The 16,505-nt window shown below is 45.3% G+C and overlaps 1 protein-coding gene and 1 long non-coding RNA gene across 16 annotated transcripts in view; one reads left to right on the forward strand and one right to left on the reverse strand.

Annotated features, from left to right (window-relative positions):
- Positions 1 to 10,313, forward strand: part of CD33 (CD33 molecule) — a 28,941-nt gene extending 18,628 nt beyond the window's left edge. For 9 of the 14 annotated variants that reach the window (XM_017027508.2, XM_047439728.1, XM_017027509.2 and 6 more), the window contains 3 exons: positions 5,454 to 5,550; positions 5,892 to 5,973; positions 9,815 to 10,313. In XM_017027508.2, coding sequence (XP_016882997.1) covers positions 5,454 to 5,550; positions 5,892 to 5,973; positions 9,815 to 9,985 — 350 coding nt within the window. In that variant the 3' untranslated portion in view covers positions 9,986 to 10,313. Of the gene's footprint in view, positions 1 to 5,453; positions 5,551 to 5,814; positions 5,974 to 6,119; positions 6,264 to 9,814 lie in introns of those variants that run through there. The other 5 variants (XR_007067046.1, XM_047439730.1, XM_047439731.1 and 2 more) reach the window with 5 other exon arrangements.
- LOC107985327 (uncharacterized) overlaps positions 1 to 16,505 on the reverse strand; it is an 84,260-nt gene that overhangs the window by 42,796 nt on the left and 24,959 nt on the right. The window contains exon 3 of one of the 2 annotated variants that reach the window (XR_001753982.2): positions 10,444 to 10,546. The exons of the other annotated variant lie outside the window; for it this stretch is intronic. This is a non-coding gene — a long non-coding RNA (uncharacterized LOC107985327). Of the gene's footprint in view, positions 1 to 10,443; positions 10,547 to 16,505 lie in introns of those variants that run through there. 2 annotated transcript variants of the gene reach the window in all.

The raw sequence follows: 16,505 nt of genomic DNA on the forward strand, positions 1-16,505 counted from the left end.
ATCCTGTGTATTTCTGTGGTAACCATTGTGACATCTTCTTTTTTATTTATGATTTTATTAATTTTTATGTCTTCTGTCTCTTTCTTAGTTTAGCTAATGATTGTCAATTTTATTTATTTTTCCAAAAAGCGAACTTGTTCATTGATTTTTTTTTAATTTCATTTATTTCTGCTCTGATCTTTATGATTTCTTTCATTGTGCTGATTTTGGATTTGGTTTGTTCTTGCTTTCTAGTTTCTTGAAATGCACAGTTAAATGGTTTACTTGAAATTTGTCTAATTGTTTGATGTAGGCATTTATTTCTCTCAAGTTGTCTCTTAAAACTGTTTTTGCTGTGTCCCATAGGTTTTGGTATATTTTATTTCTATTTTTATTTATTTTGAGAAATTTTTAAATATCATTCTTAATTTCTTCCTTCACTATTGGTCATTTAGAATCATTTTGTTTCATTTCTGTGTATTTGTATAGTTTGCATGTTTCCCTTGGTATTGATTTTTAGTTTTATTCAATTGTAGTCAAATAAGATACTTGATACATTTTGGTTTTTAAAAATTTTTGGCACTTGTTTTGTGTTCTAACATATGGTCGATCCTTGGGAATGTTGCACATGCTGATGAAACCATGTGTATTCTGCAGCTGTCGGTTGAAATGTTCTGTAAATATCTTAGGTTCATTTGGTATATGGTGCAGTTTAAATCCAACGTTTATTTGTTAATCTTGTCTAGATGATTTGTTCAATGCTGAGAGTGGGGCGTTGAAGTCCTCAACTATTATTGTATTGGAGTCTATCTCTCCCTTTATATCTAATAATATTTGCTTTACATATCTGGGTGCTCTGGTGTTGTGTGCATATGTATTTACAGTTGTTATATTATAGTGCTGAACTGACCCCTTTATAATAATATAATGTCCTTCTTTGTCTCTTTACAGCTTTTGACTTGTAGTCCGTTTTGTCTGAGATAAGTATAGCTATTCCTGCTTCCTTTCATTTCCACTTGGGTAGAATATCTTTTTCCATCTCTTCCTTTTCAGTCTATGTGTGTCTTCTAGGTGAGATAAGTTTCTTGTAAGCAGTATATAGCTGTGTTGGTAGAAGGGCTGAGGCAGGGCTTGCTTGTCTGACATAATGTAAAAGAGTCTTGGAACATGTCCTGGGTCCAGGGTCTCAAACCCCTCGTGGCCTATGGAACACCAAGCTCTGTGCCTAAGGGTGGAAGGCTGCCCTGCCACACTGCAATCTAAGCCCAGGGCATAAAACCCCTCGTGGCTTGGAAAGAATCCAGGGCTCTGGGCATAAAACCCCTCATAGCCTCTGGAATGTGTCCAGACTTGCTGGCCCCTTGCTCCTTGCTCTCCCAGGATCATAAATTGATTGTATCTTGAGTGAAAAGAACTTGTTCTCCATTATTTCAAGTAGCAGAGCATATGCTAAACCGTCACAGCTATGCTTGATGCACCGCTACCTTTCTACCCCAAAGTCCTCACGTTCTCACTTGTCTATCCCCACTTCTGCACGTCCTCACCACCTGCTTCTTTGTTTGATTACCAATAAATAGTGTGGGCTCCCAGAGCTCGGGGCCTTCACAGCCTCCATACTAGCGTCGGCCCCCTGGACTCACTTTATGTACTATTAACTTGTCTTGTCTCATTCCTTTGACTCCGCTGGACTTCGTGGCCCCCACGGCCTAGTGTTGGATCTGATCACCCCAACAAGCTGAGTCTAGATTTTCTTTTCATTCATTCAGGCAGTCCATATATTTTAAATGGGACAATTTAATCCATTTACATACACATTATTATTAATAGGTTATTTTCATTTCATTGATTGTTTTCTGATTGTTTTATATATTCCTGGTTCCTTACTTCCCCTCTTATTGTTTCTTTTTGTGGTTGGCTGATGTTTTTTTTTTTTTTGTAGTGATAAGATTTGATTCCTTTCTCTTTCTTCTTTGTGTATGGGCTGTCAGTGAGTTTTAAGTTCACGTGTTTTTGCCTTTTCACTTCCAGATGTAAGACTCCCTTGAGCATTTCTTTTCTTTTTCTTCTCTTATTTATTTTTATTATTTTTTTTTTGAGAAAGTGTCTCACTCTGTCGCCCAGGCAGGAGTGCAGTGGCATGATCACGGCTCACTATAGTCTCGACCTCCTGGGCTTAAGCAATCTTCCTGCCTTAACCTCCCAAGTAGCTGGGACTACAGGCATGTGCCACCACGCCCAGCTAATTTTTGTGTTTCTTGTAGAGGTAGGGTGTTGCCATTTGCCTAAGCTGGTCTCAAATTAAAGAGCTCAAGTGGTCCACCTGCCTGCCTTCACCTCCCAATGTGCTGGGATTATAGGCATGAGCCACACTGTGCCTGGCCCCTTGAGCATTTCTTGTAAGGCCAGTCTAAGAGTGATTAGAATTCCCTTAGTTTTTGCTTATCTATGAAATATTTTATTTCTCCTTCTTTTCTGAAAGATAGCTTTTCTGGGTATAGTATTTTTGACTGTTAAGTTTTTTATCTTTCAGTACTTTGAGTATGTCATCCCATTCTATCCTGGCCTATATAATGTTACTGCTGAGAAACTCACTGTTAGTCTAATAAGGATAATCCTATATGTGACTAGATACTTTTACCTTGCTGTTTTTACAATTCTTTACTTGACTTTTGACAATTTGGCATAATGAGCTTTGGAGAGGACTTGCTTGGGTTGAATATTTTGAGAGTACTTTGAGCTTCCTGGACCTGGATGTCCTTCTAGTTCCCAAGGCTTGGGAAGTTTTCACCTATTACTGGATTAAATATGTTTTCTACACCTTTTCCATTCTCTTCTCCTCCTGGAAATACCATAATGTGAATATTTGCTTGATTGTGTCCCATGAGTCCTGTAGGTTTCCTTCGTTCTATTTTATTCTCTTATTTTTACCTGCCTGTGTTATTTCAGAAGATCTGTCTTCAAGTTCAGAAATTATTTTTTCTTCTTGACCTAGCCTGTTGTTGAAGCTCTCGATTGCGGTTTTTTATTTCATTTATTGAGTTCTCAGCTGTAGGAGTTCTGCTTTGTTCTTTTATATAATATCTATCTCTCTGTTAAATTTCTCTTTCAAGTCATGAATTAAAACAATGGGACACAGGTGCCCAACTACTTGGCTGACCTGGGGGCATATCTGCTGGAGGTGCCAACATGGCTGTTTTGCAGGGCTGAGATGAAGCTGAATGACTCTTGGCTGGCCTAGGTGTGTTTTTGCCAGGAGTAGCACTCAGAGCTTTATCTAGGGTTTGGGATGTGAGTGTAAGACTGCTCAGCTGGCCTAGGGGGTGTACCAGCCAGTGGTAGCCCATGGGGCTGTTTCTCAGGCCTGGAATGCAAGCACATTCTGCCTGGGGTCATGTCTAAAAGGGTTGGCTCACAAGGCTGTTTCTCAGGCCCTAATTGTGGGAGAGTGGCCTTTGGGCAGGCCAGAGTCATGTCCACAGAAGGCGTCTGGGCACCGTAAGGCTGTTTCTCAGAGCCTGTGTGTGAGCACATAACCACTACCCCAGCCTGGGGATGTATCAACTCTTTGTTGGCTCAGAGGTCTCTCCCATTCAGGTGAGCATGCACAGTAGTTTGGCCAACTCAATTGTGTGTTCGCCCTGAGTGGGACTATAAGACCTTTCCTCCAGCTGGAAGTACGGGCAGCAGGGGTTGGTTTCTCTGCTGTTCAGGGCCAGAGTCCCAGCCAATCCTGGGCCCAGGCTCCATGCAGCTCTAATTGTGGTATTCAGCCACTACTGCAGGTTTAGTGGAATGAAGATGCACAATGATAAAGAGGTGCATGCCACTGGCCCCCAGAGGAGGGTGCACTCCAGAGATGGCTGTGGTCTCAAGATGGTTCTGTGTTGTAGCAGCTTGCCCGCAGGGGCTGGTTAGGGAGTTGGGAGTGCACACCAAATGCTCCATGCAGCTGTGTGAATTCCTGGCAGCTCTTCCAACTGTGCTCAGAGCTTGTGAGGACTGTAAGATTAACCTGTAGTAAGGAATGTAGGTATCTGCAGTGGCACTGGAGGTTGGTTGGATTCCTCTGCTTATCATTTCCCTACAAGGGGAAATCCTTCCTGTCTCTGGGACAAACCAATCTGGGCTGGGGAGATGGAGCTGCAAAGCCCGGGTGCCTCCATGCTGCCCTCCTGGGTTTCCAATTACCACAGGTAACTCTCCACTCCCTTGCTGCACTACACTACTCTCCCTTCGACACTCCACTCAAATCTTTGCTGTGGTTTATTCATTGCCTTGGTCCTTTCTTGTCTGGTGACACGGGGGAGGATGAGCTCCAGGCACCTCCGGTGAGCCATTTTGCTCCAATGGGGGCATTTTTTTTTAATAGGTTTTATTTTTCAGAGTAGTTTTTGTTTCACAGCAAAATTGAGTGGAATCTTCTAGTCGCTGATCATCTTGGGAGCATTTATAAATGAACCTTATTTTTCATGAAGAAATTGAGCAGAAGATACTAAGACTTCCCGTATGCCCTCTACCCTTACACATAGTTTCCCCGGCCATCAGCATCCCCCATCAGAGTGGTACATTTGTTACAGTCAATAAAACTACATTGACATATCATTGTCACCTGAAGCCCATAGTTTACATTAAAGTTCACTCTTGGTGTTGTACATTTTACAGGCTTTTTAAAAATGTATAATGACATGAATCCACCATGAGAGTATCATATAGAATAGTCACACTTCCCTAAAAATCTCTTTAGGGCATTTTTTTCTACTGTCCATACCTCAACCCTTAGCCCTGGCCTCTGTCCAAAGACCAGTGCTCTCTCCACTGCCCTATTCCAATTAATAATGGCATCTGGCACCTCAGTGGACAGTGAGCCCAGTGAGAGCAGGAACAGTTCCCTCAGTAGTGGTTATCAAACTGTTAACAATGATGCTCAGAGACACGCCCCTGACTCTGAGTGTTGGGACCTAGAAGGCACAGCCAGGCAGGTCCAGGAGAACTGTCTGGGTCTAAGAAGGTCTGAGAACCACCTCCCTGCCCCACCCTGCTTCCAGGCCCTTTTTAAGGCCAAAAGGACCACCTTTGACCCTAAGTGATGGGGCCAGTGGGAAGAAAGAAGAGACAAGGCCTATCAGCATTCCAGTGCTTTCTCTCTCTCTCATCCAAGAGGCTCAGAGCTTCACAGTCCTTCAGGGGCTATGTCTGAGGTTCATTTCAGAAAGACCCAGGGTGGAGAGGAACCTGAGTCCTAGGAGAGATGATGTTTTGTGCACCAGAGAGAGAGGGTGGGACAAGAGGTGTCAGGTGCACTGTGTACTTCATCTCATGGTCGTGGTCAATATTGATGTCTATGATGGGTGGGAAGATCTAGGAGCTAAACCCCATTTTGGAGGTGAAGTCACCCCTCTCTACATGCTGGAGAGGAGGATACACATACCTGTTTATCTAGATTAGAATTCACCCCAAATCTTTTTTGTCTGCAGGGAAACAAGAGACCAGAGCAGGAGTGGTTCATGGGGCCATTGGAGGAGCTGGTGTTACAGCCCTGCTCGCTCTTTGTCTCTGCCTCATCTTCTTCATGTGAGCATTTTCTCTGGGTCAGGCATGGGCCAGAGGTGAAGAGGATGGACCTGGTGTAGAAGGGTCCTGGAGGGGCTGTGAGGGCTGGAGAAAGGGCAGGGGGTGTGATGATGTACAGAATCCAGCCTGTGGCCACTGGGATAGGCGTGGGTCTATTCCAGGGCCCTGATCTCAGATGTCCAAGGAGTGGGAGGTAGAGGGAGACCTTGTGACTAAGTCTTGTTTGAGGGCTCCTGGATTAATCCCACCCTTTACCTGCCAAAGTCCCTCATTCCAGGCTCATAACAATGGCCCCACAGCCTGAGAAAACCAGGCTCAAAGACCCTGGTGTCTCCCATCAGAGTGAAGACCCACAGGAGGAAAGCAGCCAGGACAGCAGTGGGCAGGAATGACACCCACCCTACCACAGGGTCAGCCTCCCCGGTGAGTGATGGGGCATCCTGGCATCCAGTCTGTCCTGCAGACACCTCCTCCCAATGTGGCCCACCGTCATGCCCCATTCAGCATTTCCAGAACTGAGCTTATTGTCTTTCCTCCTGTTTAACAGTGTAGGTTTTAATATTTTTCAGGTACGTTGAGGCCAACAGATCAGGAGATGATGGCCATTGAAAAGATAGTTTCTTGGCCGGGCACAGTGTTTCACACCTGCAATCCCAGCACCTTTGGAGGCCAAGGCGGGCGGATCACGAGGTCAGGAGATTGAGACTATCCTGGCTAACATGGTGAAACCCCGTCTCTACTAAAAATACAAAAAATTAGCCAGATGTGGTGGCTGGCGCCTGTAGTCCCAGCTACTTGGGAGGCTGAGGCAGGAGAATGGTATGAACCCGGGAGGCAGAGCTTGTAGTGAGCCGACATAGCACCACTGCACTCCAGCCTGGGTGACAGAGAGAGACTCTGTCCCAAAAAGAAAAAAAAAATAGTTTCTTATTCACCGTTCCCGAGAGGGCACACCACACCATGCAAGGCCATATGGAGAAGCACCAGGGTCAGTCAGGAAGCAGAGGGAGCAAGGAGAAAATGGGACAAGAGCCTTCACTGTGGCTTTCATGGAAAAGAATGGGCAAGACAGGGTAAGCAAGCTAGGCAGGTTTAGGATTGGCTACTTAGAACAATTTCAGCAGACTCTGGGGTATAGGAGTTGTCTCTAGTTGTCTGGTACATGGCCCTGGGTTTATTAAGGAGGATTGTGGTCTGGAGTGTAAGAGCTCAATAAAGGATCCAGCTGGTAGTGTGGGCTTTAGATTGACTGGTTTGCACATGAAAGGTGCACTTGTATGCAAGTCCTTTATTAGCTCTAGAAATCTACTATCCTTGGGAAAGGCAGTCTCTCAAGGGTCAGTAATGCCCCAGATGTCAAAACATCAGAAACACTTGGTTGACACACCCCTAAACATACTTCTCCTGATGGGTTCTCCATCTCGCTGATGGCACTCTTGTCCCCATTACCCAACCAGAGACATGGCCCCCTCCTGTCCCAGTCCTCCATCTCTTCCTGTGCCAGTATGCTACGATGCATGTCTGAGCTTCCTCTGAACACGGCTTAACACAACCACTCCTGAGCCGAGAGCCCCTCTTACTCCTTATTCTGCTGCAGCCTCACCTCCCATTTCTCCTCTCCAGAACATTAGCATCACCTCCCTAAAAGGTCATTGTCCCATCATTCCCAAGTTTGAAATGCACTGCTTCTCTACACTCCTGAAAGATTGGCATTCCAACAACTTGGTCTGGCATTTGGAGCAGGAAAACCAGAGTCCCCTTCAGTGCTATGCTCCCCCAACATTAGCCACTCAATCACCTCAAGCAGGGCAAGCTTTCTCATCTCAGAATCATTGCTGGGCTGTCCCCTCCTCCTCATATGCCTAATAGCTACCTGCCCAACTCCAGTGCATCCTTCAAGCTCTGATTTTTTTTTTAATTTATTTAACTCTGACTAAAGTGAACACCACAGTAAAGTTTTTGAACACAGGGTCAACCAGCACCCATTCATTCTGAAATATCTATATAATCCCATTTGCCAATTGCTCTAGGTCCTTGTGCCATTCTGTATTTTTATAAACACACAGTTTACAAATATAAAATATTCCTCCTATCGGGGGCTTAACATTTATTGGGGAAAGGGATGAAAATAATGAACAAATAAGCAGTGCAAATATACATGAAATAGGCATGAAATAAGTGCTATGGCAGGAAATGAAATGGGAGAACGGATTGGACAGTCCTGGGGGCCAAAGAATGGCCTTTGGGCAAACACCTGCAGAAAGAAAGTGAGTACAGTATGAGCAGTAGAGAATCATCAAGGAAGCAGCAAGTACCATGGCTCTGAGGCCGGAACACATCTGATGTTTTAGAGAAACAAAGTAGGACAGTGTGGATAAGGCAGAGTTACGTGTTGGGGGTGGAGTGTGGACTGAACAATGGTAGGTAGGAAATGAGGTTGAAGAGACATAGGAGCTGCAAATATTGCAGGATCCTAAGTCCATCATAGTTATTGATGCGTTTAGAGCAGAAGAGTGACATGAACTGACACTCATTTTAGTGGGAGTCACTCTGGCTGCTCTGTGAGAAACTCTAGTATGTAGTATAGAAGAGAAGATACCAGAATAGAAGATACACAGATAATCAAGCCAAGAGATGACTGACTCAGACTTAGTCCCAAGTAAGAATAATGAATCTGATGTGGAGAAATTGGGTTCCGGATACATCTTGAAGGTGGAGTCAACAGTATTTGCAAGTGGAGTGATGGAGTGCATGCAAGGCATGAGCAAAGATAGCTCACGGGCTCTGCTCGATAAGTGTCTCAGATGTCATAGGTGGGTCCACAGATATCATAGATGTCATGGATGTCCAAGAAGACCCCATAGATGTCATAGATGTCTATAGATGCCAATGATGATGTTCATGTGGTTAACTCAGAATTCAAACTTAAAAAATCAAATTGCCAATGATTAAAATTGCCATCCTTGAAGGAGAAGTCTATTTTCAAGTGTATATCAAACATTATTTTGGTTACCGTAAGTTTGAGGTGCCTCTGAGACATCCATGTGGAGATGACAAGTAGCAGGCAAGTGTCTGGAGCTCAGAAGAGGGCTCCACGTGGGAGACACAGAGGTTGGGAGCTTCCCTATCAACATCCAATAATCGATGAATCTACAAAGAAGAGAAGGGGTCCACAGACACAGCCCTGGAACCCTCCAGCATTTAATGTTAGGGAGATGAGGTGTAAATGGTGAGAAAGCTGAGAATGAATAGGAGCCAATGACCAGGAAATTGCAGGCTGTAGTGTTGGTGGCCAAGGGAAGATGGGGCTTCATGGAGGAGAGGTTGGTCATTTGTTTCAAATGCTGGTAAGTCTGGTAAGATGGAATCTGAGAAATGGCTATTTGAATGTAGCTAAGTGGTATGACAGCAAAGCAGATCTGATTTTTCTGCTGGAGGAAGATCTCTTGACTAGAGAGAGTTCAAGAGAGAATGGGAGGAGAAGAGGCAGAAACTGTGAGTTGAAGGACTCTTTTGAGAAACACTGCCCCAAATCTAGAACCAAGAAATGGGCCTGCACCAGCAAATGGTTGTACCCTGTAGACTTGCCATTTCTCCAGCATCTGCTCCTGTGTCTCTTATGATACCATGTTCCCTGTTTGTGTAGGGCTTTGCACCACTTGAACTAACTGCATTCCCATAGCTTCCCCTACCACACCATGAGCTCCACAAGGAAAAGCCTGGGTTTTATTAGACCTCCATCATTCTACTCTCTCCTGTTCATCTGCACACTGTCACAATTTGCAATTACCAGTCTGTTTCTGTCTTCATCCCCTGCAGTACTGGAAATCACAGGGCCCCTGCTCTGCTCTGCTCCCTCCTGAGGATCCAGTGCCCAGCACATAGGAGGTCCCAGAGACCTGGGACCGAGTTCAGGGTCAACAGATGTGTGACTTTGGAAATTACCTAAGCTCTCTGAGACCTAGTTTCCTGGTCTGTAAAATGGATTAAAATAATAGATGCCAAAGATGATGTCAGTGTAGCTGCCCAGAATTTTTCCACATTAGTCTCTGTGAGTATTCAAGAGAATTGCGAATCAATCAATACGTGCTACATGTGTTAGATAATGAATAAGTAGAGCCTTAATTAATTAACATTTGATGAAAGAATGAAAGAGTGAATAAATGTTCTGTCAGAGTCAAATTTACTTCATTGACCCTCTTTGCCTTCTCCTGGTCCCCCTCCTCACTGCCCTGCTCTAACCCCCTTCTTTCCTCTCCATAAGAAACACCAGAAGAAGTCCAAGTTACATGGCCCCACTGAAACCTCAAGCTGTTCAGGTGCCGCCCCTACTGTGGAGATGGATGAGGAGCTGCATTATGCTTCCCTCAACTTTCATGGGATGAATCCTTCCAAGGACACCTCCACCGAATACTCAGAGGTCAGGACCCAGTGAGGAACCCACAAGAGCATCAGGCTCAGCTAGAAGATCCACATCCTCTACAGGTCGGGGACCAAAGGCTGATTCTTGGAGATTTAACACCCCACAGGCAATGGGTTTATAGACATTATGTGAGTTTCCTGCTATATTAACATCATCTTAGACTTTGCAAGCAGAGAGTCGTGGAATCAAATCTGTGCTCTTTCATTTGCTAAGTGTATGATGTCACACAAGCTCCTTAACCTTCCATGTCTCCATTTTCTTCTCTGTGAAGTAGGTATAAGAAGTCCTATCTCATAGGGATGCTGTGAGCATTAAATAAAGGTACACATGGAAAACACCAGTCCTGGTGCAGTGAGAGTTCGGTGCATACTGGTTCCTTCCCCCTTGAACAGAAGTCATTAGTGATATTTGATCTCTGGAACTATATCAGCAACATGTCCATCTCACTTGCTGCTCAAAACCCCACCATATATGTCTTCCCTGACTTACCCTCCAACATCATCTCTCTCCACTCCTGAATCTTCTCTTTTCATCTCACCTGTCCCCTACTCGGATTTCTGCTTTCTTTATGTCCTGCTACAGGGAAAATCACATATTAGCATTTGGGGAATTTTCTAAAACTCAGAGCTGACCATAGTGAAAATAGTTCCCTAGATCCCCAACCCACAGGAATAATTTGAAGCTTCTCAATGTGACATTCTAAGTCAGAGATGGTCAACCAGTATTAGCAAAGGGCCAGATAGTAAACATGTTCAGTTTTGCAAGCAATGTGGTCTCTATTGCAACTATTTAATTCCGCCATTGTAGCAACAAAGCAGCCACAGACAATCTGAAAATGAATTATATGGCCATGTTCCGACAAAATGCTATTTATCAGAACAGGCAGCCCACGGGCTGTGGTGTGCTGACCTCTATTCTATGTTGCTCTGAATCTCGCTCAGTCTACTCTTCCATTGCCACATCCTACACTCTATGGACCCCATTCTAATGCATTCCTCCCTGTCTGTTTGAATCCACATCCCTCTTCCAAGAAGGGCTGTCACCATGTCATCATCGGGCACCATCTTTTTATCCTTCCAAATGACCTCAAAGGTAGATGTCTAAATTGAGATGGCAGAAAGAAGCTCACAATCATCCTCCCAAAAAGCCTAATTAAAATGATAAAAATCAGTTTAAGAAAACCAGCCCCAAATTCATCAGCAGCACCCAAACCATTACAGGGGGTGAAAGCATTATGCCATAAGCTCACAATACCCTTTAGATAAACAAATGGAAGATTCTGGTGTTGCGGTGGCTCACGCCTGCAATTCCAACACTTTGGGAGGCCAAGCCCGAACCCTGCTAGGCTGTGCCCGCCTCCGCCTCCCCTGCCCATGGGAGTGGCGGGTGCCCCTCCAGGGTCCACCTCACCCAGCCCAGACCCCCAGGGTGCTCTGCCCCATAGATGGGAGGCAACTGCCCAGGGTGCAGGGGCAGTGAGGGCGCTGCTGGCTGAGGGACATGCCCCATCCTGGGGAGGGAGGGTGAGTGTGTCAGGGAGGGGACAGCCCTGCAGTTGTCAGAGGTGGGGCTGGAGCAGCACAGGTTTCCTCTGGTTACAAACTACTCCTAGGTGCATACCTAACAGAAATGCATACAAATGTTCTTCAAATATACAGAAGAATGTTCATAGCAGCACTAATTGTAATGACTGAAAATAAAACCTACCCAATACCAATCAACAGTAATACAGATAAATAAATTATGGATTATTTCTGCAATGGAAGAAGCAAATAATGACTCCATACAACATGTATGAATCTTAGAAATATAATGTTGAGTGAAAGAACCCAGATACAGAAAGTACATACTATGTGATGTACTTGATACAAGGTTTAGAAACACACATAACTAATCTTTGGTGTTCAAAGTCCAGATACTGGTGACTAGTGGGGCGGAGGTCAGGGGCTGGTGGTTAGTAACGACTAGAAGGGGGCATTAGGGAGTTCTGGGAGATTCTGGTAAGGATCTGTTCTTTGGGGATTTTGTTTGTTTGTTTTTGTTTTGTTTTTGAGACAGAATCTCTCTGTCACCCAGGCTGGAGTGCAGTGGTGCCATCATGACTCACTGCAGCCTTGACCTCCCTGGTTCAAGCCATCTTTCCACGGCAGCCTCCAGAGTAGCTGGGACTACAGGCGTGCACCATCACGCCTAAATAATTTTTTTAGTTTGGTGTAGAGACATGGTCTCCGCATGTTGGCCAGGCTGGTTTTGAACTTCTGGGCTCAAGCGATCCTCCTGCCTCAGCCTCCCAGAGTGCTGGAACTATAGGCATGAGCCACTGCACCTAGCCCAGGATCTTTTTTTTTGATCTGGCTACTAATTGCTCAGATGTCATCACTCTGTGAAAATTTTTTTGGTAAAGCACTTGTGATGTGTTCCCTTTTCTACATGCATGTTACTCTTTAATCAAATTTACATTAATATTTTTATAAATTATCCTTGTTAGTATTTAGCTCTGATCTCCAAACTGTCAGCTTCCCCAGGTCAGGAACTGTACTATGTCCAGCCCTGTATTTTTAGAGTCCAGCCTTGGACACAGCACATGAAGTGTACTCAGTAAATCTTTGAAATGACCTGAACTCAATCCAGGTGGGAACCACAAGGTTGGACTCTGATGAGGCCTCACAAGTTACATTTCCAGCCCAGGCCTCTCTCCTAAGCTCTAATCTCCTATATTCTCCTGCACATCTCTCCCCGAATGACCTGCAGGCTCCATGCTTTTAATGCACCCCAAACTGGACTCATCTTTCCTTAAGCCTGGTTGTCTTCCAGGTTTGCCATCCAGAGGTGTGAGGATTCCCATCTGCAGTCACGGCACCTGGTACTCAATGCCTGGGTGTCTTAGTTTGTTTGGGTTACTATAGCCAACTACCATAAACTGGGTGGCTTATAAACAATAGAAATTTATTTCTCACAGTTCTAGAGTCTAGAAAGTCCAAGATCAAGGGACCAGCAGATTCCATGTCTGATGAGGGCTCATTTTCTGATTCATAGACAATGCCTTCTCGCTGTGTCCTCACATGGTAGAAAGGCAGGGAAGGGAGCTCTCTCAGGTCGCTTTTATAAGGGCACTAATCCCATTCATGGGGGCTTCACCCTCATGACCTAATCACCTACCAAAGGCCCCACCTTCAAATACCATCACACTGGTGATTAGGCTTCAACATATGAATATGGGGGGACATAAGCATTCAGTCTATCTCAATGAGCAAGGAGAGCATAACACCCCTGTGCCGAGTTCTAACCTCCCACCAAGACAAAATTTCTGGCCTACATTCATGGTTTCTTGTGAAACAGGCCTCCTTACCTTCCCTAATCTCTCAGATCCCAATTTAGGTTCCTCTGCCTGTTCCTCTAAGAGGCCACTGTTTGAACCACTTCCTGAATCTGGTGAGTTTATACCTCTTCCTCCTCCTCCTCCCTTCTCCTGGCTCCCTCTCCTCTGGGGACTGTGAGCTCCACTGGCCACAGTATGAAATACCTCAAGGCCCAAGTACAAGGTCTTCTCCAGCATGAAGCATCCTTCAACTTCGCACTACCCTGGGACGAATCTGGAACTCCCTCCTCTGGGATCCCACAGGCTCCCATCCATCTCTCCACCACAGCTATACTCCCAGGATCTAGAATCTGTTAAAATTGTCTTAACGAAGGCAGCAGAAGGCAGCAATTAAAATTTTCACTTCCTTCACAGTAGCCAAAAATTGGAAGCAACCCAAATGTCCATCAACTAATGAAGGAATAAACAAAATCTGGTACATTCCTGCAATGCATATCATTCAGACATAAAGATGGGCCGAAGTACAGATACATGCTACAACGTGTATGAACTTCGAAAGCATCACACCAAGTGAAAGAAGCCAGACACTAAAGATCACGTACCATATGATTCCATTGATATGAAATGTCTAGAATAGGAAATACATTTCTGGAGGCAGAAAGCAGGTCGGCGGTTGCCAGGGGCTTCGAGGAGGGCAGTGACTGCTTAGTGAGTACATGCTTTCCTTTTGGGGCAATGAAAATGTTTAGAACCAAACAGAGGTTGTGGTTACACAACGTTGTGTATGTACTGAATGCCACCGAGTTGTTCACTTTAACATGTTCATTGTATGTAACGTGATTTTACATCAATAAAAAAAAATAATAATTTAAGCTTTCAAGTCAGATCTCCAGCATCTGAACACCTGCCTCACCACTGAACCTCCTGCTACTTCCATTTGCTTATCTGTTAAATGGGGATAATAGCACCACTTAGTTCACTGGTTCATCCTGAGGATTCAATGAATCAATGCTTGACAGAGTGGCTGGTGCATGCCAAGCCCCCAGCTCTTGGGGGCTGGTCAAAGTGAACTCAGCCACTAGCCAAATTCTTCAAGGTAATGATTCGATTCACTGAATGACCTGCAGGTTTCCAGCTATATCCTTGTGGCGCCAGGCTTTTCACTTGCACCCTGATTACATGGCTGACCCTGTGGTCACAGGGAAAACTGACGTGCAAGATAGTAAAAGTGAAGTATAAAGTCTATTTTTTTTTTTTTGAGATGGAGTTTCGCTCTTGTTGCCCAGGCTGGCATGCAATGGCACGATCTCAGCTCACTGCAACCTCCGCCTCCTGGATTCAAGCAATTCTCCTGCTTCAGCCTCCCAAGTAGCTGGGATTACAGGCGCCTGCCACCACACCCAGCTAATTTTTTGTATTTTTAGTACTGTCAGGCTTTCACCATGTTGGCCAGGCTGGTCTTGAACTCCTGACCTCGGGTGATCTGCCCACCTCAGCCTCTCAAAGTGCTAGGACTACAGGCATGAGTCACAGTGCCCGGCCATATAAAGCCTATTTTAAGTCTCCATGGCCAGAGTTTTGTTCCACTTCTCCCTTTCCCTCTTCACCCATTCCTGTAAGTCACCAAGTTCCTGGCCTGTCCCCTTCCCCTTACTCTCAGATCCAGGTCCCATCTTGACTCCTCTTCCCCAGAACATGGCAAAAGCCTCCTCCCCAGCCTCTGGGCTCCAGTCCCACCCCAACCAGCCCATCACCAAAACCATCAGCAATGGGAGCTTTCTAATACTCACCTCTAACCCTGTATCTTTCTTGCTAAATATCCTCCCATGCCTGCCTCTTTGCCTCAAGATGATGTTCTGACTCTAGTGAGAGTTATTCAAGCTTTTCCCAGGCCAGGAACAGTGGCTCATGCCTGTAATCCCAGCACTTTGGGAGGCTGAGGCAAGAGGATTGCTTGAGGCCAGGAGTTAACACCAGCCTGAGCAACATAGAGAGACCCTGTTTCTACAAAAGCAAAGAACAATTAGACAGGTGTGGTGGCACGCACTTATAGTCCCAGCTACTTGGGAGGCTGAGGTGGGAGGATCCCCTGAGCCAGGCGTTCAAGGTTATAGTGAGCTAGATCACGCCACTGCACTCCAGCCTGGGTAACAAAGTGAGACCTTGTCTAAAAAAAAAAAAAAGGCCTGGTGTGGTGGCTCACGCCTGTAATCCCAGCACTTTGGGAGGCTGAGGCAGGGAGATCATAAGGTCAGCAGTTTGAGACCAGTCTGGCCAACATGGTGAAACTCCGTCTTTACTAAAAATACAAAAATTAGCTAGGCGTGGTGGCATGCACCTGTAGTCCCAGCTACGTGAGGGGCTGAGGCAGGAGAATCACTTGAACCCGGGAGGCAGGGGTTGCAGTGAGCTGAGATCGCACCACTGCACTCCAGCCTGGGCGACAGAGCAAGACTCTTTCTCAAAAAACAAAACAAAACAAAACAAAAAATAACTTTTTACAATCTCACCCTCAGCTACCACCCCTCACACATCTCAGCCACATCCTAGAGATTGCATGTCCCTCTGTGCCTCTCCATGCTTCATTCATGTGGTTCTGTCTCTTTGCAATATTGTCCCCTGCCCTCCTTCTTTGCAGCACACACTCATCCTTTGAGAGCTGGTTCAAACATCACCTCCTCAGACAAGCTGCATTCCCTACCCTGTCCCCTCTCCCAGCCCCTGTACTTTCCCACAGCTTGGATTAGAGCAGTTTATCAACTGCTGTTGGTGGGCCAGTTCAGGTTCTTGACTTTGCGGCACAAAAGAATTTGAGAGCGAGTCCAAAGTAAGAGTAGGCAAAGAAGTTTATTACAAAGCGAAAGTACACCCTGAGAGGCAGAGGGAGGGAGAGACAGCCTCTAGCATCTCAAGGTAATTCCTTTCATGGGAACTATACATACATATTCATAAAATATTGGTGAGTCCAGCATGAAAGGCATGCACTCAGAATCTATGTGCTCTAACACGCATTGCATGTATCATTAGCATATAAAATCTCCACCTAGGGGTGTATTTTCTACTATTCAAATGAGGAAAAGGTCACTATAAGCTAAACTTTGAACATAGCTGCACACGCAGAGCCCTGGAGAAGTTCCCAGCTCCCCCAAGGCAGGAATTTGTAGCTCACAGCTTCTTGGGTTTTTGGTGTTGATTGGCTGGAGACTGGGGAAA

The sequence above is a fragment of the Homo sapiens genome, chromosome 19 (assembly GCF_000001405.40).
Source record: "Homo sapiens chromosome 19, GRCh38.p14 Primary Assembly".
Lineage (NCBI taxonomy): Eukaryota > Metazoa > Chordata > Mammalia > Primates > Hominidae > Homo > Homo sapiens.